Source organism: Homo sapiens, chromosome 12 (genome assembly GCF_000001405.40).
Source record: "Homo sapiens chromosome 12, GRCh38.p14 Primary Assembly".
NCBI classification, from domain to species: domain Eukaryota; kingdom Metazoa; phylum Chordata; class Mammalia; order Primates; family Hominidae; genus Homo; species Homo sapiens.
Window position 1 is genome coordinate 7,806,219 of NC_000012.12, and position 22,930 is coordinate 7,829,148.

The window sequence follows — 22,930 nt, forward strand, 5'->3', positions numbered from 1 at the left end:
CAATAGGACTTTCCTTAAATGTGTTATGATATATTGGAGTACTTATGTAGCCATAAAAAACAAAAAAGATGGCCAAGTGCAGTGGTTCATGCCTGTCATCCCAGCACTTTGGGAGTCTGAGTCTGGTGGATCACAAAGTCAGGAGTTTGAGACCAGCCTGACCAACATGGCAAAACCCCGTCTCTACTAAAAATACAAAAATAAGCTCGGCATGCTGGCCGAGTGCCTGTATCTCAGCTACTTGGCAGGCTGAGGCAGGAAAATTGCTTGAACCCGGGAGACGGAGGTTGCAGTGAGCTGAGATTGAGCCACTGCACTCCAGTCTGGGCAACAGAGTGAGACCCTGTCTCAAAACAAAACAAAACAAAAACAAAAAGGATGAAGCAGATTTAAATGTATGGGAAAATTCCATTATTAAGGTAAAAGAGCAGATTCGTTTATAGGTTGTGATCCCATTCATGTCATATATGGAGATAAATTAAGTGTGGAAAGATAGATACAGATATAGAAATAAAAGTAATAGTTATCTCTAGGAAATAAAATTAGGAGGCATTTTTTGCTTTTCCTCTATTTTTAGAACATATCTGACAAAAATAATAGATAAATCTATTTGGAAAGCATAAGAGTAGCCTCTATGGAACTAAATAATTGCTAGTAAAAGTAACATTTCCGTGAACATTTTTGAAATATGAAAATAACTCAAGTACTTGTACTGATACCTTTAGGACATGCTAGAATACTGGAACTCTTGCTTTTGAAACACAGATTAGACTGTCCCTCTTTGGGCAAAGCCATTAAGTCAATGTTAAGCTCACTGAGAGAGTCACACCCCCCTCTAGTGGTCTACCGTGGCACTGGGCTCACCAATCTCCCAACTGTTTTACAATGATAGGGAACTTTCCTTAACCATCACATGTTCAGGGACAAGGGAATGGATGCCCAGACATATTCTTCAATTACATGTGGTTCAAGATAGAAATCAATTGAGAATGATGGATCAGATATACTCAGATGTACTTGATGAAGTAGAAGTTCCTCTAAATGGAATAAACTGGAGGCCCTAGGGAAAAAAAAATGGATTGAAAACCTTAGCAGAATAAGTGACACTGCTTTTACAAGTGATTCATAGTGGTTATAAACTAAGCCAGCAGGCAGACATGGAAATGTTCTTGGAAGAGTGTGTTTAGATATTGTAATGAAGATACAAATTTGCTGAGGACATTGGAAAAAAGAAATCTGTTGCTGTGGAGTTTAACTAAAAGTGTATCAGTCTCTTTCATCTTTTTTTTTTTTTTTTTGAGACAGAGTCTTGCTCAGTCGCTGAGGCTGGAGTGCAATGGTGTGATCTTGGCTCACTGCAACCTCCGTCTCCCGGGTTCAAGCGATTCTCCTGCCTCAGCCTCCTGAGTAGCTGGGAAGTAGCTGGGATTATAGGCGCCGCCACCATGCCCAGCTAATTTTTAATTTTTGTATTTTTTAGTAGAGACGGGGTTTCACCATGTTGGCCAGGATGGTCTCAATCTCCTGACCTCGTGATCCGCCCACCTCGCCCTCCCAGAGTGCTGGGATTACAGGCGTGAGCCACTGTGCCCGGCCTCTCTTTCTCTTTTGTCACCTATTTAGCTTTAGAAAATTGGGTAGCAAGCCCGCAGGTGTGTATGAACAGGGCCACGGTTGAACAAAGACTAACAGAAGGCAAGCTGAACAGAGTGTCGGAGTCATAGGATTGGCTTCAGCTTCCCTCACAGTTTATAAGAGATCCTTGTGGAGATTCATGGTCAAGATCATGCGTTAGCTGAGGAAAATTCAGAGTTTATTAGAATCAGAACATCTAGCACAGCTACAGTATGGGACAGGTGCGGGACATCCAGCAACATGGCACCAGGGAGGTAGGCTCCTGGGATCTACTGCCAGTCTTTAGGAGTAGTTCACAGCCCAACACTTGTGGGGGATGACGTGAGCTAGTCATTTTGGATTGAAAGCTTGATGTTGCAAATATTATGTTGTAGAAACTCTGGATTCTCTTGTGTTCTTCTGGGCATTTTGTATTTTTGTTCTAGTAGGCAAAAACGTTATCTTCCCAGCAACGAGCAACAGCTGATCTCTCTATCCTGCTCTAGGGTCTTCATCTGCTGCTTTTTGGCCTGGAGACACCTGTGCTTGCAAAATTCGCTGGTCAGTCAGGAATTTGGGCAGAAAATATGATCAGACTTTTAGGAATGACTTTCTCTATGGTTTTTTTTCCCCCCTTTTTAGTTGTTTTTGGTAGGATTCACTCCTATTTTTTTTTTTTTTTTTTTGAGACGGAGTCTCGCTCTGTCGCCTAGGCTGGAGTGCAGTGCCATGATCTCGGCTCACTGGAAGCTCTGCCTCCTGGGTTCATGCCATTCTCCTGCCTCAGCCTCCCAAGTAGCTGGGACTACAGGCGTCCGCCACCACACCCGGCTAAAATTTTTTTGTATTTTTTAGTAGAGATGGGGTTTCACCGTGCTAGCCAGGATGGTCTTGATCTCTTGACCTCACCATCCACCTGCCTCGGCCTCCCAAAGTGCTGGGATTACAGGTGTGAGCCACCGTGCCCAGCCAATTCACTCCTAATTTCAAACTGCTCTGTTGGTTTTGGGCACTTCCAGCCATAAAATTTCAGCTTTCTGCACACGGCCCTGGGTTCATTCCCCAGCACCATCACCAAAAAAAAAAAAAAAAAAAAAAAAATAGATTTCAGTTTTCTGTCACCTGAGCTGTGGAGGAATGAGGAATACATTCATTTTTTTTAATCTTTTTTTTTTTTTTTTTTTTGAGACAGAGTCTTGATCTGTCGCCCAGGCTGGAGTGCAGTGGCGTGATCTTGGCTCACTGCAAGCTCTGTCTCCTGGGTTCCTGCCATTCTCCTGCCACAGCCTCCCAAGTAGCTGGGACTACAGGCACCCGCCATCACGCCCGGCTAATTTTTTTTGTATTTTTAGTAGAGACGGGGTCTCACCGTGTTAGTCAGGATGGTCTTGATCTCCTGACCTTGTGTTCTGCCCGCCTCGGCCTCCCAAAGTGCTGGGATTACAGGCGTGAGCCACCGCGCCTGGTCAATCATTTTATTTTTAACATTACTTATTTTTATTTTTTACTTTTTTTCAGTTTACATTTACATGAGCATTTATTTTTTATTTTTTATTTTTTATTTTTTTTTGAGACAGTGTCTGGCTGTGTCACCCAGGCTGGAGTGCAGTGGATCGATCATAGCTCACCTCAGCCTCGAACTCCTGAGCTCAAGTGATCCCCCTGCCTCAGCCTCTCCAGTGGCTAGAATTTCAGATATGCACCACCACACCTGGCTAATTGTTTTTATGAAATAAAATTTTTTTAAATTTATTTTTGTAGAGACTGGGGTCTTGTTACATTGTCCAGGCTGTCCTTGAACACCTGGCCTCAAGCTATTGTTCTGCCCTGGCCTTCCAAAGAGCTGGGATTATAGGCATGAGCTACATGGGCCGGTCCAAACTTAGTGTACTCTTTTTTTGTCTTCTCCCAGGCTGGAGTACAGTGGTGCTATCATGGTTCACTGCAGCCTCCAACTCCTGGGTTCAAGCAGTCCTCCCACCTCAGCCTCCCGAGTAGCTGGGATTATAGGTGTGCACCACCATGCCCAGCTAATTTTTTTTTTTGAGATGGAGTCTCCCAACTGTTGCCCAGACTGGAGTGCAATGGTGCGATCTCGGCTCAAAGCAACCTCCGCCTCCCAGGTTCAAGCGATTCTCCTGTCTCGGCCTCCCAAGTAGCTGGGATTACAGGCACATGCCACCGCACTCTGCTAATTTTTGTGTTTTTAGTAGAGATGAGGTTTTTCCATGTGAGCCAGGCTGCTCTAGAACTCCTGGGCACAAGTGATCCGTCCACCTTGGCCTCTCAAAATGCTGGGATTACAGGCGTGAGCCACTGCCCCTGGCCTGACTGTAGGATTTATCAGGCTTTACCCTGTCTAAGTTTATGGGTTTCTGCTCCTACCAGGAAGGTCCTACTCTTTCCCTGCTTTTCTCAGTGTTCCTACCTTTCAATAATAAAAAAACAATTGGCCGGGCGCGGTGGCTCACGCCTGTAATCCCAGCACTTTGGGAGGCCGAGGTGGGCGGATCAGTTGAGCTCAGGTGTTCAAGACCAGCCTGGCCAACATGGTGAAACCCCGTCTCTACAATACTACAAAAATAGCCAGGCATGACAGTGTGTGCCTGTACTCCCAGCTACTGGGGAGGCTGAGGCGGGAGAATTACTTGATCCCTGAAGACTAAGGTTGCAGTGAGCCGAGATCACACCATTGCACTGCAGCCTGGGCAACTGAGAAAGACTCCATCTCAAATAAATAAATAGTTAATTAATTAAAAAAACAATTGTAATGTGAAAGGCTTGGTCGCTCGAATCTGAAGTCCAAGCTAGTCAGGAGGCTGAAGCCGGACAGTTGCTTGAGCCCAGGAGAATAGCCCGGGCAATACAGTGATATCCTGTTCCCCTCCTCCGATAAAAAACAATTATAATCCTTGGGAAGACAAATTTTAGTATAATATACTTTTTTTGTTTTTTGAGATAGGGACTCTGTCACTCAGGCTGGAGTGCAGTGGTGCGATCTTGGCTCATTGCAGACTCAATCGCCTGGACTCAGGTGATTCTCCCACCTCAACCTCCCAAGTAGCTGGGACTACAGGCATGTGCCACCATGCCCGGCTTGTTTTCTTTTGTTTTTTGAGATGGACTCTCCCTCTGTCGCCCAGGCTGGAGTGCAGTGGCACGATCTCGGCTCACTGCAAGCTCCGCCTCCCGGGTTCACTCCATTCTCCTGCCTCAGCCTCCTGAGTAGCTGGGACTACAGGCGCCCGCCGCATGCCCCACTAATTTTTTTTTTGTATTTTTAGTAGAGACGGGGTTTCACCGTGTTAGCCAGGATGGTCTCGATCTCCTGACCTTGTGATCCGCCCGCCTCAGCCTCCCAAATTGCTGGGATTACAGGTGTGAGCCACTGCGCCCGGCCGAAGGATTTTAAGTAGGATAGTGATATACAGTCCGACTTCTGTATCTGCAGATGCAAAGAACTACAGATGGAAAATATTTGGGAAAAAAGACAATACAACTATAAAAAACAATACAGTTTAACAATTATTTACATTGTATTAGGTATTAAAAGTAATCTAGAGATGATTTAAAGTGCATGAGATGATGTGCATAGATTATTTGCATTTAAATCATCACAATAATAATTATATGCATTTTTTTTTGAGACCAAGTCTTGCTCTGTCACCAGGCTGGAGTGCAGTGGCGTGATCTCAGCTCACTGCAAACTCCGCCTCCCAGGTTCAAAGGATTCTCCTGCCTCAGCCTCCTGAGTAACTGGGACTACAGGTGCATGCCACCACACCCAGCTAAGTTTTGTATTTTTAGTAGAGATGGGGTTTCACCATGTTGGCCAAGATGGTCTGGATCTCTTGACCTCGTGATCTGCCCGTCTTGGCCTCGCAAAGTTCTGGGATTACAGGCATAAGCCACTGCACCCAGACTATATGCATTTTATATAAGGGACTTGAGTATCCCTGAATTTTGTTATCTAAGAAGGGGTCTGGGAACCAGTCCCCTGGGGATGGCAAGGGACTGCTGTATGTCACATGGATGCCCTGACAGCAGTGTGGGATGAATTGTAGAGAGCAAAGACTGGAGGAGGAAGGAAGTGGAAAGGAACACGAGAAAAACAGAAAAAAAAAAAAACTAGTTCTCACTGGGGAAAGAAAGCAACATAATTCATCAAGTATGAAAAGCAAGGCACGAAGGCTTTTTCACTTAATCTGCATAATAAACACATATTGCTATTCTCTTTTTTTTTTTGAGACAAAGTCTCACTCTCGTCCCCCAGGCTGGAGTGCAATGGCGCAATCTTGGCTCACTGCAACCTCTGCCTCCTGGGTTCAAGCGATTCTCCTGCCTCAGCCTCCCAAGTAGCTGGGATTATAGGCACCTGCCACCACGCCAGGCTAATTTTTGTATTTTTAGTACAGACAGGGTTTCACCATATTGGCCAGGTGGTCCCAAACTCCCGATCTCAGGTGATCCGCCCTCCTTTGCCTCCCAAAGTGCTGGGATTACAGACATGAGCCACCGGGCCCGGCCAAATATTGCTATTCTCTTATGTATGAGACTCTAAGAACAGAGTCTCATACAAGTCTCAAGGTCACAACAGGTACTGAGTAGCCAACTCAGGATTTAAAGCTGATTTTGTTGTTACAGGAACGGCAAAAAATAAATAAATAATGTGCTTGTGATGTCATGTACATTCAGAATTTTTATTTTAAAACAAAGAATCAAACAAACAATAATGGAAAATCCATATGGAAATATTCACAATCTTCTCAGTGAGAAATAGGAAAACAACTTCCCTGCCTTACTGCCAAACTGAGGAGCCAGAAGTTGACGTGAAGTTGGAAGGCCACCTTTCCAGCTAAACCCCACTCCATAGCTACGTGCATTTTTATTCAAAGGCTCCAGGAGCAGAGGGAACAGTGAGAACTGAGAACCAAAATACTGTCACTGGCAAGGGTTTGGCTAAAGGGTCTGAGATGTGTAAGCACCAAGAAGGGAAAGGGAGACTGAGCAACATATGAAAAAGGGGCTGTAGGAACAAACACAGAGAAAATAAGTCAACAATAACATACTTCCACCCAGAGCAAAGTGACAGTGCACATACATTCATCCTCTCAAGTGTGGGCTGCACTGCACATTGACTCATACTGTCTAAACCTGGTTTATTGGAAAGATTCAAGTCCCCTGAGGGCATTCGGCATAGGACCACAGTGACATGGTAACAGACATACGCAAGCGTGCCGTGAGCCTAAAGCAACAACACACTTTAGATAATAATCGCTCAGAAAAAAATCCTCTCCCAGAGCTGAGGTTACAAATTCCAAGTTTGCTGTAAACATTCTTTGGGGAATTCCTTTAAAGGTATGAGTTAAAATAAAACAGAAAATCAACACCTAAAATCTCCTAAAGAACAAAGTGGAGAAATAATGAATCTCTACCAAGAACCAATTATTTTAGGTTTCTCATTTGGATGGCTCTCCCACTAGATAGGTGGCGGGATTACTTCAAAAGTAATGAGACTACTACAAGGAGTTATTTCGTCCAGTGAGGGGAACAGGCTTTCTAGAAATCACTTTCTCTTCCCTGGACTCCATCCAAAATTAGAACCCATCAACCGCCATTAACTACAATGCCCATATTAGTTAATAATCCTAGATTTCAAGTACTACTACATGTAAACTATTATCTTAAAGATAAAGTTCCAAAGGAAATGAGTAGCTTTATTAAATAGGCATACAACTTTTCTGAGAAATCAAAGAGTTTCCATCTGAAGGACAGAAATTGTTAAGAGGTAATGTACAGACCTCAGGCACCACATCATTTACCCTCCAATAATGAACAACATTTCTCCCTGAATTCTTATTGCACCTTAACCTCTCCAGCATCAAATCTTTTACTCTATAACCTCTCTTTAAACACCTCCCTCTAATCTCAATTTCCTTCTGTTTTTATTATTTGGCAAAATTACACTTAAAAAATAAATATTTATGTAATTAAACCAGAGGATAAGATAAATAAAACTCAAGTTAATTTGCCGCGTAGAGCTGTATGGAAGTGAGGAAGGTGCTCTTACATAAACACCCTCCGGCTTCCACACTCATATGTATCTGCTTCCTGGTAAGTCTGAGGTTGGGGCAACTGCACCTTACTTTTCCTCTCCTATATCCTCTAGTGCGGCAATATCAGAACCCAAGGGAGGAAAAGCTGGCAAAGTTGTCATGTGCCAAGCGGCCAATCCCTCCTGAAATGAAGGTAGGTTCACTCGGTCTCTCCTAAGCAGAAGAGGATGTCCAGGAAATAAAATTTAAAAAGCCATTGAAGATCCAACAAACTGCAGCCTTGGGGTGCTCATGGAGTGCGTGGGATGAGAAAGAAATCAAGTAGCAGCATTCAGAAGCAGTCCTGGGTTCATCCTGATAAAGTCTCTCCCTTGTTGAGGGAGAGGTGGCTTTCCCATGCCGGGAGGGAGGTGGAAGGAGGCATGACTTAGACATTGGTGGTGGTCTCCTTAGCAGGCTCGATGCTGTTCATCCCCATGACGCCGTCCTTCCCAGATCTATCTGCACCGTGTGCCTGCCCTTCAAAGGCCCGTGTGATATCCTCAAAAGTCCTGCCACGGGTCTCAGGGACTTTGAAGAAGGTAAAGGCCAAGAAGGTAATGAGGAAGCCGGTGAAGATAATAAAAACGTAGGCTCCTAAATAGTACTAGTGAAAGGACAGAAAAAAGGAAGGTTGATATAAAAATCTGGTCATTGACAAATACAATTTCCTTCACATTCATATTTCCAATAGGCTTCAAGCTATAACCCTTCCATATTTAATGAAAACATAAAGGTTTCTTCAGAGATTTACTTATGATTCTATTGCTAACTTACTATATTTCTCTGTATTTTTCTTTCTGTCATTTTTTTTCATTAAAGTTAGATGCTTCCAAATGTCTACTGAGTATTTTTGGACTTTTGAGTATTATTATTATTATTATTATTTGGAGATGGAGTCTCACTCTGTCACCCAGGCTGGAGCGCAATGGCAGGATCTCGGCTCACTGCAACCTCCTCCTCTTGGGTTCAAGCGATTCTCCTGTCTCAGCCTCCTGAGTAGCTGGGACTACAGGTGCCCACCAGCACGCCTGGCTAATTTTTGTATTTTTAGCAGAGATGGGGTTTCACCATATTGGCCAGGCTGGTCTCAAACTCCTGACCTTGTAATCTGCCTGCCTTGGCCTCCCAAAGTGCTGGGATTACAGGCGTGAGCCACTGCACCTGGCCTTGAGTATTATTTTTAAAATCTGTGTTGCTGAGCTGGGTGTGGTGGCTCATGCCTGTAATCCCAGCACTTTTAGAGGCTGAGGCAGGTGGATCCCTTGAGGCCAGGAGTTTGAGACCAGCCTGGCCAACATGGCAAAACCCCGTCTCTACTAAAAATACAAAAAAAAAAATTGCTGGGAGTGGTGGCACGTGCCTGTAATCCTAGCTACTCAGGAGGCTGAGGCAAGAGAACCACTTGATCCCAGGAGGCAGAGGTTGCAGTGAGCCGAGAGTGAGCCACTGCATTCCACCGTGGGCAACAAAGTGAGACTCCGTCTCAAATAATAAAAAATGAATGGTTCCCAGTTTTGCCATCCCATTTCAATCTTTTCTGCCGTCATTTTTTTTCTATGTATTGTTGAAAATCTGGTTTATAGCCTTTGATGTCTAATCTTTCATAGCGTCAGTAATTACAGTAGTCCCCAGTTATCCAGTTTTGTTTTGTTTTGTTTTTTTTGAGACGGAGTTTCGCTCTTGTTGCCCAGGCTGGAGTGCAATGGCATGAGCTCCGCTCACAGCATCCTCCGCCTCCCAGGTTCAAGCGATTCTCCTGCCTCAGCCTCCTGAGTAGCTGGGATTACAGGTATGCACCACCAAACCTGGCAAATTTTGTATTTTTAGTAGAGGTGGGGATTTTCCATGTTGGTCAGGCTGGTCTTGCACTCCCAACCTCAGGTGATCCTCTCGCCTTGGTCTCCCAAAGTGCTGGGATTACAGGTGTGAGCCACCGTGCCTGGCCAGTTTTGTTTTTTTTTGTTTTTTTGTTTTTGTTTTTGTTTTTGAGATGGAGTTTTGCTCTTATTGCCCAGGCTTGAGTGCAATGGTGCAAGCTTGGCTCACTGCAACCTCTGCCTCCCATGTTCAAGCAATTCTCCTGCCTCAGCCTCCCAAGTACCTGAGATTACAGGCGCCTGCCACCACACCCAGCTAATTTCTTGAATTTTTATTTTTTATTTTTTTTATTTTTTTTATTTTTTTTGAGACGGAGTCTCGCTCTGTCGCCCAGGCCGGACTGCGGACTGCAGTGGCGCAATCTCGGCTCACTGCAAGCTCCGCTTCCCGGGTTCACGCCATTCTCCTGCCTCAGCCTCCCGAGTAGCTGGGACTACAGGCGCCCGCCACCGCTCCCGGCTAATTTTTTGTATTTTTAGTAGAGACGGGGTTTCACCTTGTTAGCCAGGATGGTCTCGATCTCCTGACCTCATGATCCACCCGCCTCGGCCTCCCAAAGTGCTGGGATTACAGGCGTGAGCCACCGCGCCCGGCCATTTCTTGAATTTTTAGTAGAGACGGGGTTTCTCGATATTGGCCAGGCTGGTCTCGAACTCCTGACCTCATGATCCTCCCACCTCAGCCTCCCAAAGTGCTGGGATTACAGGCGTGAGCCATCTCACCCATCTTCTTTTTTCTTCTTCACAATTTTATGGACAAAAGATATATTCTTAAACTGGGCACCATGGTGCCTGCCTGTAATCCCAGCACTTTGGGAGGCTGAGGTGGGAGGATCACTTGAACCCAGGAGTTTGAGACCAGCCTGGCCAACATAGCAAGCCCCTGTCTCTATTCGTAAATTGTTTTGTTTTGTTTTTGAGATGGAGTCTAGCTCTGTCACCCAGGCTGGAGTGTCATGGCAAGATCTTGGCTCACCACGAACTCCACCTCCTGGTTTCAAGCGATTCTCCTGCCTCAGCCTCCCGAGTAGCTAGGACTACAGGTTTGTGCCACCACGCCTGGCTAATTTTTGTATGTTTAGCAGAGATGGTGTTTCACCAGATGGTCAGGCTAATCTCGAACTCTTGACTGCAAGTGATCCGCCCACCTCCACCTCCCAAAGTCCTAGGATTACCGGCTTTGAGCCACTGCTCCCGGGTGCAATTTAAAACTTATGATTTGTTTATTTCTGGAATTTTCCATTTAATATTTTTAGACTGCAGGTAACTGAAACTGCAGATGAGGAGGGACTACTGTATTACTATTATTATTATATATATTTTTTGAGACGGAGTTTCTGTCTTGTTGCCCAGGCTGGAGTGCAATGGCCCGATCTCAGCTCACCGCAACCTCTGCCTCCTGGGCTCAAGCGATTCTCCTGCCTCAGCCTCCCAAGTAGTTTGGATTACAGGCATGCGCCACCATGCCCGGCTAATTTTGCATTTTTAGTAGAGACAGGGTTTCTCCATGTTGGTCAGAGTGGTCTCTACCTCCCGACCTCAGGTGATCTGCCTGCCTCAGCCGCCCAAAGTGCTGGGATTACAGGAGTGAGCCACCTCGCCCAGCCTGACTACTGTATTATTAAGGTGTATCTTCAATATGTCAGCCTACGTAGGCTGGTTTTAAGATAAGGTGAGTTGGCCGGGCATGGTGGCTCACGCCTGTAATCCCAGCACTTTGGGAGGCCAAGGCGGGCAGATTACCAGGTCAAGAGATCATGACCATCCTGGCCAACATGGGGAAACCCCATCTCTACTAAACATACAAAAATTAGCTGGGCACGGTGGCGGGTGCCTGTAGTCCCAGCTACTCAGGAGGCTGAGGCAGAAGAATCGCTTGTCAGTGAGCTGAGATCGGGCAACTGCACACCAGGGCGAGACTCAGTCTCAAAAATATATATATATATAGATAGATAGATAGATAGATAGATAGACAGATACATAGATAGATACATAGATACATAGATAAGGTGAGTTTACTTACAGCAGCAGAGGGGAAGAGCAATCCGACTAGGAAGTTGGAGGTCCAGTTGGAGCAGCCGGCCACTGCCATCGCAGCTGGGCGGGGGCCCTGGCTGAAGAGTTCGGCCACAATAAACCAGGGAATGGGGCCTGGTCCAATTTCAAAACAGGCCACAAAGACCAAGATAGCCCCAATACAGACAAAGCTCATCCCATTATAGTGATTCTGTAAGAGGAAGGAACACAGAAGATTAAATTTAAAGACAGTGTAACCCAGGATCTAGGTTCCCAGAGGCAACTAATGGCAAGCTCCTCCTGTCCTGACGTACAATACAAAGAGTGGCTGTGGAATCAAAAGGCTTGGATTTATTTTTATTTTTATATTTATTTTTTGAGACGGGGTCTTACTCTGTTGCCCAGGCTAGAGTGCAGTGGTGCTATAACAGCTCACTGCATCATCGACCTCCTGGGCTTAAGCAATCCTCCCACCTCAGCCTCTCAAATAGCTGGGACTTGAGGCATGTGCCACCACACCTGGCTAATTAAACAAAAGGTTTTCGTTGTTTTTTTGGCTGGGCACTGTGGCTCACGCCTATAGTCCCAGCACTTTGGGAGGGTGAAGTGAGTGGATTATTTGAGGTCAGGAGTTGGAGACCAGCCTGGCCAACATGGTGAAACCCTGTCTCTACTAAAAAACACAAAAATTAGCTGGGTGTGGTGGCGCATGCCTGTAATCCCAGCTACCAGGGAGGCTGAGGCAGGAGAATCAATGAAGCCTGGGAGGCAGAGATTGCAGTGAGCCAAGATGGCGACATTGCACTCCCAACTGGGTGACACAGCAAGACCCTGTCTCAAAAAACAAAAAACAAAAACAAAAAAATACTTTTTTTTTTTTTAGAGACAGTTTCTTGCCATGTTGCCTAGGCTGGTCTTGAACTTCTGGGCTCAAGCAATCCTCTCACCTTGGCCTCCCAAAGTGTTAAGATGACAGGAATGAAGCACTGCACCCAGCCAGGCTTGGATTTTTGAATCCCATCTATGTGATCTCATATATGTCACTTTGTACTGAGACCCCGTCATCATCCATAAAGTGTGATTACCTTGATATTATTTTAAGAATTAAATTAGGCAGGGCACAGTGGCTCATGCCTGTAATCCCAGCACTTTGGGAGGCTGAGGCAGGTGGATCACCTGAGGTTGGGAGTTCGAGACCAGTCTGACCAACATGGAGAAACCCTGTCTCTACTAAAAATAAAAAATTAGCTGGGCGTGGAGGTGCATGCCTGTAATCACAGCTACTCGGGAGGCTGATGCAGGAGAATCACTTGAACCCAGGAGGTAGAGGTTGTGGTGAGCTGAGATTGCACCACTGCACTCCAGCCTGGGCAACAAGAGCAAAACTCCGTCTCAAACAAACAAACAAACAAACAAAAGAATTAAATTAGATAACTTATTTTATAAACCATAATAATGTTCTCTAAATGTAAAGATTCTAACAGTTTACCTCCAGTTCTCTGATGACCCATGTTTCTTAAAAACTCTGGGCATCTTGCTTCTCTCCTCTGACTTTATTGACAAACTGCAACCTTAACAACCCACCCCTTGTGTCACAGAAGTCAACTGTAACCTCTCTTCTTTCCCCCTCCCTTTTTTTTCACCCAAAGAGCACTTACCTTTAATAACAAAGAAACAGTCATGAGCGTGGAACAAAAAGCCATCCCTCCAAGGCCTATCATATGCAGAGTCCTTCTTCCTGCCCTTTCCACCAGAAATAGCTGGAAGAAGAATATGACATGAAACTTCAGTTTTCCTTTCCATGAAAACAGCATCTGAGCTACTTGAAATCTGCCTTACCAACAGCAGGACACTTGTTATGGATACCCCTCCTGTGATTTATGATTTTATATACATACATATTGTGTGCCATTCACAGGTCCTGGCTCAAAATCCCCATAGCCCTTGGTAGAGTCTTTTGTCATAATGTTGGGATGCTTCAGGCCTCAGGAGCAGGCCTCAGATAACAGAATTCTTCTCTGACTTTCTCCTGCCCTCCCACTTGGCAGGACGCTAATCTGACTGTGGGTCATAAAACCCTCATTTCAGAGAGGGTCCTGCCCCACACCCTAGAGGAAGAAACGCTACAGAGAGGCCAACAAATCATCTAAGCAGACAGGCCCAGCTGGGTTCAGATCATTCCCTTTTTGTCCAATCACAGGTCAGAACAGTTGTCCATGCTTCAATCATGGAGAACCAATTAAGTCTGCATAAAAGGCCCAAAAGGTAGGGTATGGGGAGCTTCCAGATATCTGAACCCGTGGAAGCTGACAGGAAGGTCAGCAACAACTCATCTATGTGCTAGGAGTGCACCCCAACCCCACAGAGACAGAAGCTCCCATGCTCAGGATCCCTCCAGACCTCGCCCTGTGAATCTCTTCATCTGGTTGTGTATTTCTGTGCTTTAAAATATCCTTTAAATCAAACTAGGAAACAATTTTCCTGAGTACTGTGAGCCACTGTAGCAAATTAATCAAACCCAAAGAGGATGTCGTGGGAATCCTGATCTACAGCTGGTGAGTCAGAAGCACAGGTAAAACAACCTGGAGCTTGTGACTGGCATCAGGAGTTGGGGGCAGTCTTGGGAAATCGGCCACCAACCTGTGAGCTCTGATGCTATCTCCAGGTAGTGTCAGAATTAAATCACAGGACACCTAGATAGTGTCCACTACGGAACTGATTGCTTACTTGATGGGGACAAATCCTTATATATTTTGGGGGTCACAGAAATCTTCTGTTATTATTGTTGTTTTAGTGTAAAAACAGAGGAATAACAGTTTGAAAGTTTTTCCAAACACCTCTCCTCCAATTCCAAGTTCAAAACATACTGTATAGTCCCTTCTATACTTCCTCTTTTCCCATCCATCCATATTTGCTTGAAGAATGAAGACTACATTCAGCATTGAATGTATCTCTTTTTTCCAAAGGAAAATTAAACAACAGTCCGGGCACGCTGGCTCACACCTGTAATCCCAGTACTTTGGGAGGCCTAGGCAGGTGGATCACCAGAGGTCAGGAGTTCAAGACCAGCCTGGCCAACATGGCGAAACCCCGTCTCTACTAAAAATACAAAAATGAGTTGGGCGTGGTGGCGCACACCTGTATCCGAGCTACTTCGGAAGGCTGAGGCAGGAGAATCACTTGAACCCAGGAGGCTGAGGTTGCAGTGAGCCGAGATTGCACCACTGCACTCCAGCCTGGGCAACAGAGCAAGACTCTGTCTCAAAAAATTTAAAAAAATAAAAATAAATAACAAAAAAGGTGTAACTAAATAACGGTGGAGCCATGCAATCCATCTTTGAACATCTGTAGCAAGGATTCATTTCTCCCCCCAAAATTATCAAACCATCCAACTTACAGAAAGTAAAGTGAAGATAGTATTAACCACACCCGCGCTGATGGTGGCATAGATGGGCTGTTGAACACCTGCATCCTTGAAGATTCCTGTTGAGTAATAGAACACCTAGGAGAAAAGAAAACATGCAGCTTTGATAAAATTCTGCACACCACTTACACAGAACCCTCAAAAAATACTTAAGGCTGAGCGTGGTTGCACAGGCCTGTAATCCCAGCACTTTGGGAGGCCAAGGCAAGCAGATCGCCTGAGGTCAGGAGTTTGAGACCAGCCTGGCCAATATGGTGAAACCCTGTTTCTACTAAAAATATAAAAATTAGCTAGGCATGGTGGCACACACCTGTAGTCCCAGCTACTTGGGAGGCCAGACAGAACAAGACTCTGTCACCATAAAATAAAATTTAAAAAATACTTAAAAGTCCCAGGAGGTAAGAAGTCCTTTTACTACAATTTTTGTTCAATCCTAATATCCCTGAATTATCTTCTGAATCTTATCTCCTTTCTCTTTTTCTTTTTTGACGGAGTCTCAATCTGTCACCCAGGCTGGAGTGCAGTGGCACGATTACAGGCTCCTGCCACCGCGCCCAGCTAATTTTTGTATTTCTTTCTTTTTTTTTTTTTTTTTGAGATGGAGTCTCTCTCTGTTGCCCAGGCTGGAATGCAGTGGCACGATCTCGGCTCACTGCAACCTCTACCTCCCGGGTTCAAGCGATTCTCCTGCCTCAGCCTCCCAAGTAGCTGGGATTACAGGCATGTGCCACCAGGCCTGGCTAATTTTTTGTATTTTTAGTAGAGGCAGGGTTTCACCATGTTAGCCAGGATGTTCTTGATCTCCTGACCTCATGATCCGCCCGCCTCGGCCTCCCAAAGTGCTGGGATTACAGGCGTGAGCCACCACGCCTGGCCAATTTTTGTATTTTTTTAGTAGAGACATGGTTTCGCCATGTTGGCCAGGTTGGTCTTGAACTCCTGACCTTGTGATCCACCCACCTCAGCCTCCCAAAGCGCTAGGATTACAGGCGTGAGCCACTGCACCTCGCCCTCCTTTCTCTTTTTAAATGTTCTCAATTTTAGCTACTAATGTCCATTGTTGCTTCTAACTATGCTTATTCCCACTGTTCCATTTCCTCTTGCTTATGTCTACTTCACCAACTTATATGAAGGTGTAGGCTGGGTGCAGTGGCTCACGCCTGCAATCCCAGCACTTTGGGAGGCCGAGGCGGGCAGATCACGAGGTCAGGAGATCGAGACCATCCTGGCTAACGTGGTGAAACCGTCTCTACTAAAAATACAAAAACAAAATTAGCCAGGCGTGGTGGCGGGCGCCTGTAGTCCCAGCTACTGGGGAGGCTGAGGCAGGAGAATGGCGTGAACCTGGGAGGCAGAGCTTGCAGTGAGCCGAGATGGTGCCACTGCACTCCAGCCTGGGCAACAGAGCGAGACTCCATCTCAAAAAAAAAAAAAAAAGAAAGTGTAATTCCTACTAACTGGTTTCTTTTTTATAAGTTGAGACAGCAACTCACTATGTTGCCCAGGCTGGTCCTAAACTCTTGGTCTCCAAGTGATCCTCCTGCCTCTCAGCCTCCCAAGTTGCTGGGATTATAGGCATGTGCCATCAGGCCCAGCTAAATGCTTTTTTAATTGACTCTTCCCCAAACCCTCAAAACACTGATAGGCACATTGATGTCTCAATTTGATAGTGAACTAATTGAATAACCTTATCCTGCTCCTTGAATAAGCAGAGATTGGGCTGTATTTCCTAGGCCTAGGCCCTTTTGAAGTGTTTTATGAAATAATACCAGCTACTATTGCAATTTAATATATATTAAATAAATTACTATGTTTGTTATTTACTAGGCACTGCGCTAAAATGTAAGGTTGCTGGCCGAGCACAGTGGTTCATTCCTGTAATCCCAGCAATTTGGGAGCCCAAGGCTGGTGGATAACCTGAGGTCAGGAGTTCAAGACCAGCCTAGCCAACATGGTGAAACCCTGTCTGTAATAAAAATAAAAAAATTAGCTGGGTGTGGTGGTGGGTACCTATAATCCCAGCTGCTTGGGAGGCTGAGGCAGGAGAATCGCTTGAGCCTGGGAGGTGGAGGTTGCAGTGAACTGAGATTGTGCCACTGCACTCTAGCCTGGGCAACAGAGCGAGACTCCATATCAAAAAAAAAAAAGAAAAAAAAAGTAAGGTTGCTACAACTATCACAGCTATGAGAAACTGGCCATGCGCAGTGGCTCACGCCTCTAATCCCAGCAATTTGGGAGGCCAAGGCGGGCAGATCACCTTAGGTTGGAGTTCAAGACCACCCTGACAACATGGAGAAACCCCGTCTCTATTAAAAATACAAAATTAGTAGGGCATGGTGGCGCATGCCTGTAATCCCAGCTACTCGGGAAGCTGAGGCAGGAGAATCAATTGAACCCGGGAGGTGGAGGTTGCGGTGAGCCGAGATCGCACCAGTGCACCCCAGCCTGGGCAATAAGAGCGAAACTCCGTCTCAAAAAAAAAGAAAAGAAATATTGAAATATTGGACTCAGACCTCAAGTTAACAAGGGAACATTATCTAGGTTACCCAGGTTCACTTCAGTTTATTTCACCCAGAGTAGTTGCCTCCATAGCAATATTTATTAGTCTTTTTGATAATATGGACCTCTACATTGGGATTTACCTTCTCAAGAAATAACTATTTAAATCCCTAAGATGTAAGATGTAAACTATGTATACTTATATTTTCTAAAATAAGATTATAATTGGCCAGGCGCAGTTGCTCACGACTGTAATCCCAGCACATTGGGAGGCTGAGGTGAGTGGATCATCTGAGGTCAGGAGTTCAAGGCCAGGCTGACCAACAAGGTGAAACCCTGTCTCTATTAAAAATACAAAAATCAGCCGGGTGTGGTGGCAGGTGCCTGTAGTCCCAGCTACTCAGGAGGCTGAGACAGGAGAATTGCTTGAACCTGGGAGGCAGAGGTTGCAGTGAGCCGAGATCGAGCCACTGCACTCCAGCCTGGGCAACGGAGTAAGACTCTGTCTCAAAACAAAACAAAACAAAACCTCAACATATTATATGATGACGTCAAGCTTGTGGGGAAAGATATTAGGTTGGTACAAAAGTAATTACTTGAGCAGTTTAAACAAGCAATAAATAGTTATCACAATTATCTACCTTATCACAATGTCTACACATCAAAAACCTAATGTACATGTACACATCTCAATAAAACTTCTTGGGCCAGGTGAGGTGGCTCACACCTGTAATCCCAGCACTCTGGGAGGCATAGGCGGGCAGATCACTTGAGGTCAGGAGTTCGAGACCAGCCTGACTAACCTGGAAAAACCCTGTCTCTACTAAAAACACAAAATTAGCCAGGCGAAGTGGTGCACGCCTGTAATCCCAGCTACTCAGAAGGCTGAGGCAGGAGAATCACTTGAACCCAGGAGGTGGAAGTTGCAGTGAGCCGAGATTGTGCCACTACACTCCAGCCGGGGTGACAGAGACTCTGTCTCAAAAAAAAAAAAAAAAAAGAATACATTGTTTGCACAAAAGTAGGTTGGAAAAGTGATTTCCAAGCCTGCTATGCATCAGACTGATTGATTGATTGATTGATTTTTAGATGGTGCATCCACCACGCCCGGCTAATTTTTATATTTTTAGTAGAGACAGGCTTTTGCCATGTTGGTCAGGCTGGTCTCGAACTCCTGATCTCAGGTGATCTGCCAGCCTCAGCCTCCCACAGTGCTGGGATTAGAGGCATGAGCCACTGTCCCCGGCCCAGATTTATTTTTTTACAGGCAATTTCCAGCCCTCTTACACGGAGACTCTGGATTCAGCTGACTCAGGAATCCCATCCCCCATAATTCCGGTGCAGCTAACTTTGGGTGATGATTATATGTGGAGCAAAATCTGCTCATTGACTAAATTGGGAGCCACTTTAGTCCAACAATAATTAAGGTATAGGCTGGGCATGGTGGCTCATGCCTGTAATCCTAGCACTTTGGGAGGCCGAGGCGGGTGGATCACTTGAAGCCAGGAGTTCAAGACCAGACTGGTCAACATGGTGAAAGCCCGTCTCTACTAAAAATACAAAATTAGCTGTGTGTGGTGTCGGCCGCCTGTAATTCCAGCTACTTGGGAGGCTGAGGCAGGAGAATCACTTGAACCCAGGAGGTAGAGGTTGCTATGAGCTGATATTGCGCTACTGCACTCTAGCCTGGGCGACAGAGCAAGACTACCTCTCAAAAAAAAAAAAAGAAAGAGCAAGCCAGGCGCGGTGGCTCATGCCTGTAATCCCAGCACTTTGGGAGGCCGAGGCGGGCAGATCACAAAGTCAGGAGATTGAGACTATCTTGGCTAACACACAGAAACCCAATCTCTACTAAAAATGCAAAAAATTAGCTGGGCATGGTGGCACGTGCCTGTAGTCCCAGCTACTTGGGAGGCTGAGGCAGAAGAATCGCTTGAACCCGGAGGCAGAGGTTGCAGTGAGCCAAGATTGCATCACTGCACTCTAGCCTGGGTGACAAAGTGAGACTCCTCTGTCTCACAAAAAAAAAAAAAAAGAAAGAAAAGAAAAGAAAGAAAGAAAGTATGCACATACCACTCTGAAGTGGGAGGAGTCTGTTCCTCAGAATGCTCATGGATCATCTGTAATTTCCCACAGGTGATTTTTTTCTGACCCTGTTTTGCAGGGCCCAGACTGTGGTGAGGCAGCTAGGGAGTTGCCTCAGGTGCATTCTTTTATTCTTTCTTTTTTTTTTTAAACAGGCACAGAACTAACGCAAGGTACATTCTTTAAAGAGGTGCTCATTCTCAGGGCTACACTTGCACGTAGCTGCCTCACCTGCCTAGTCCCAGCTCTGCTGCTCTGGAAAGTCTCGGGAGCACATTTTTCTCCAGTAATACGTGTGGCCTACATTATCATTTCCAAATGAGGAAATTTGAGACTGGGATTCATCAAAATCACCTAGGAGGCTTTTTCTAACTACTGTGTATTTCCTCCCAAGTTTTTTTTTTTTTTAAGACAGGGTCATGCTATATTGCCCAGGCTTGACTCCTTGGCTTAAGTGATATTCCCACCTCAACCTCTGAGTAGTAACTGGGACTACAGGCATGAGCAGCCACCACACCTGGCTCCTTGTACATTCTGATAAAACAGCTTCTAACCCCTCACAAGAAGCACTGCCACTTCAAATACAAATATCTGGTGTGTTAGGTAGGAGAAAAGGCCAAGAACCAACTTAGTATTAAAATGCTCAAAATACTAAGTTTTGCAAAATGCTTTGTTACAAAATGATTTAATCCCATTGATCAAAGACTAATGGAAAACCCTCAGGGGATGAAGTACAAGGGTGCTCTTCATATCCGTATTTTATCCACAATTGACTAGAAGGCACAGGAGTACTCTCTTCCCACAATCCACACTCAATAGCAGGAAGCTGATATTTGCATGGAATACAAGGGTTACCTGTCAAATGCTAGCTTCTGTTTTGCCGCCCTCTTTAAACTATCATGCTCCCTATTCTACTTGTAAAAACATAGAGACTGGTAAAGTCAGCTCAGTCTGAAGTTGCCAGTGTACTTCCAGGCTCGCTCTTTTTTCTTTCTTTCTTTCTTTCCTTCCTTCCTTCCTTCCTTTCTTTTTTCTTTCTTTCTTTCTTTCTTTCTTTCTTTCTTTCTTTCTTTCTTTCTTTCTTTTTCCTTTTTCTTTCCTTTCCTTTCCTTTCTTTCCTTTCTTCTCTCTCTTTCTCTCTCTCTTTCTCTCCTTTCTCTCTTTCTCTCCTTTCTCTCTCTCTCTTTCTCTCCTTTCTCTCTCTTTCTCTCCTTTCTCTCTCTCTCTTTCTTTCTCTCTCTCTCTTTCTTTCTTTCTTTCTTTCTCTTTCTTTCTTTCTTTCTTTTTATTTCTTTCTATAAGGAGTTCTGCCCTGGTTGCTCCGGCTGGAGTGCAATGGCGCAATCTCCACTCACTGCAACCTCCGCCTCCCAGATCCAAGAAATTCTCCGGCCTCAGCCTCCTGAGTAGCGCACCACCACGTCCAGCTAATTTTTGTCTTTTTTTTTTTTTTTTTTTTTTAGACGAAGTTTCTCACTCTGTCACCCAGGCTAGAGTGCAATGGCGCAATCTCAGCTCACTGCAACCTTCGCCTCCCGGGTTCAAGCGATTCTCCTGCCTCAGCCTCCTGAGTAGCTGGGACTACAGAGGCACACCGCCACCATGCCTGGCATTTTAAGTGAAATATTGTAAGACACGTTTGACCCTAAAGTATCACACTCACAGCATTGATCCCAGAGAGCTGCTGAGAGAGCTGGAGCACAATGGAAATGATGATGGGCTGTCGGTAGCTGGACACTCTAAAGAGCTCCAGCACGGTGACTTGCTTTTCTTGTGACATCCTTGCACTCTCATCTTTCATCTCCTGGATGTCTTGGGATACATCCTGGGTGCCCCACAACCGCTGGAGGACTGGTGAAAAGAAGAAAGAGGAAAGGATAAAGAGAATGTGCTGCCCCAAATTCATTCTTCCTGTAAGGCAGCCAGGAAAGGGCCGCACGAGGTGAGGTGATGGGTAGCATCCATTCCTGAACCTGCCCTCTCACCTCATTCTTTAGGGGCTGAAAATTTTACTCAAGAGTAATCAGAGCCCAGTGCGGTGGCTCGTGCCTGTAATCCCAGCATTTTGTGAGGCCGAGGCTTGTGGATCACCTGAGGTGAGTTTGAGACCAGCCTGGCCAACATGGTGAAAGCCCATCTCTAATAAAAATACAAATTAGTCGCTGCTTTGTCTATCGAGTAGCCATTCTTTTATTCCTTTACTTTCTTAATAAACTTGCTTTCACTTAAAAAAAAAATACAAATTAGATGGGTTGGGCGCGGTGGCTCACACCTGTAATCCCATCACTTTGGGAGGCCAAGGCAGGCGAATCACAAGGTCAGGAGTTTGAGACCAGCCTGGTCAACATGGTGAAACTCCATCTCTAATAAAAACACAAAAACATTAGCTGGCGTGGTGTCGCGCGCACCTGTAGTCCCAGCTACTCGGGAGGCTAAGGCAGGAGAATCACTTGAACCTGGGAGGCAGAGGTTGCAGTGAACCGAGATTGCGCCACTGCACTACAGCCTGGGCAACAGAGCAAGACTCTGTCTCAAAAAAAAAAAAAAAGTACAAAAGTAGCCAGGCGTGGTGTGGTGGTGGTGGCACATGCCTATAATCCCACCTACTCCGGAGGCTGATGCAGGAGAATCGCTTAGAACCCAGGAGGCGGAGGTTGCAGTGAACCGAGATCGCACCACTGCACTCCAGCATGGGCAACAGCATGAGATTCTGTCTCAAAAAAAGAAAAAACAAAGTAGAGTAATCAGAACCATCTTCACTTGGATTCTGACGGGCAGGGAAAGGGTACGACAGAAAATAGATCCAGTACCCTCACCCTTAAAACAAACCACAACCATATACTTTGTATACTAAAGAGTGAAAGATACTCACTCCGCGTAGCATTCTCCTCTTTTTTTCTGTTAATGAGCAAAAATCTGGGACTTTCAGGGCAACATGGAAGGGCTGCACTTTGCAGGATAGCTGGAAGGATGGTAAAGCCTAATAGCACCGGCCATAGCTCTTCAGACCCAAGGATGAGTTCCAGACCAAAGATCTAGAAACCACACAAAGATAATGCTATAAACCCCATACTTCACAGGCCACAAGTTCATTGAAACACAAAAAGTTGGCTGGGCGCAGTAGCTTACGCCTGTAATTCCAGCACTTTGGAAGGCTGAGGCAGGTGGATCAGGAGTTGAAGACCAGCCTGGCCAAGATGGTGAAACCCCGTCTCTACTAAAAATACAAAAATTAGCCAGGCGTGATGGTGGGCACCTGCAATCCCAGCTACTCAGGAGGCTGAGGCAGAGAATTACTTGAACCCAGGAGGCGGAGG

The 22,930-nt window shown here is 45.5% G+C and overlaps 1 protein-coding gene across 6 annotated transcripts in view, besides 3 other annotated features; it reads right to left on the minus strand.

Moving 5' to 3' along the window:
• Positions 755 to 914: a silencer, noted in NCBI's record as "silent region_4204". NCBI's record gives its function as "represses an Ori minimal core promoter by ATAC-STARR-seq in GM12878 lymphoblastoid cells {active_cell/tissue: GM12878}" and the evidence as "EXISTENCE:reporter gene assay evidence [ECO:0000049][PMID:35858748]".
• Positions 1,583 to 2,082: an enhancer, noted in NCBI's record as "H3K27ac hESC enhancer chr12:7960397-7960896 (GRCh37/hg19 assembly coordinates)". NCBI's record gives its function as "activates a minimal SCP1, AML or CMV promoter by ChIP-STARR-seq in primed H9 embryonic stem cells {active_cell/tissue: H9 hESC(primed)}" and the evidence as "EXISTENCE:reporter gene assay evidence [ECO:0000049][PMID:30033119]".
• SLC2A14 (solute carrier family 2 member 14) overlaps positions 6,296 to 22,930 on the minus strand; it is a 78,683-nt gene continuing 62,048 nt past the window's right edge. For all 6 annotated transcript variants that reach the window (NM_001286237.2, NM_153449.4, NM_001286236.2 and 3 more), the window contains 6 exons: positions 22,486 to 22,648; positions 21,277 to 21,464; positions 15,003 to 15,107; positions 13,264 to 13,365; positions 11,613 to 11,816; positions 6,296 to 8,316 (listed from right to left, as the gene is read on the minus strand). In NM_001286237.2, coding sequence (NP_001273166.1) covers positions 8,098 to 8,316; positions 11,613 to 11,816; positions 13,264 to 13,365; positions 15,003 to 15,107; positions 21,277 to 21,464; positions 22,486 to 22,648 — 981 coding nt within the window. In that variant the 3' untranslated portion in view covers positions 6,296 to 8,097. The remainder of the gene's footprint in view (positions 8,317 to 11,612; positions 11,817 to 13,263; positions 13,366 to 15,002; positions 15,108 to 21,276; positions 21,465 to 22,485; positions 22,649 to 22,930) is intronic.
• Positions 20,107 to 20,643: an enhancer, noted in NCBI's record as "H3K27ac-H3K4me1 hESC enhancer chr12:7978921-7979457 (GRCh37/hg19 assembly coordinates)". NCBI's record gives its function as "activates a minimal SCP1, AML or CMV promoter by ChIP-STARR-seq in naive H9 embryonic stem cells {active_cell/tissue: H9 hESC(naive)}" and the evidence as "EXISTENCE:reporter gene assay evidence [ECO:0000049][PMID:30033119]".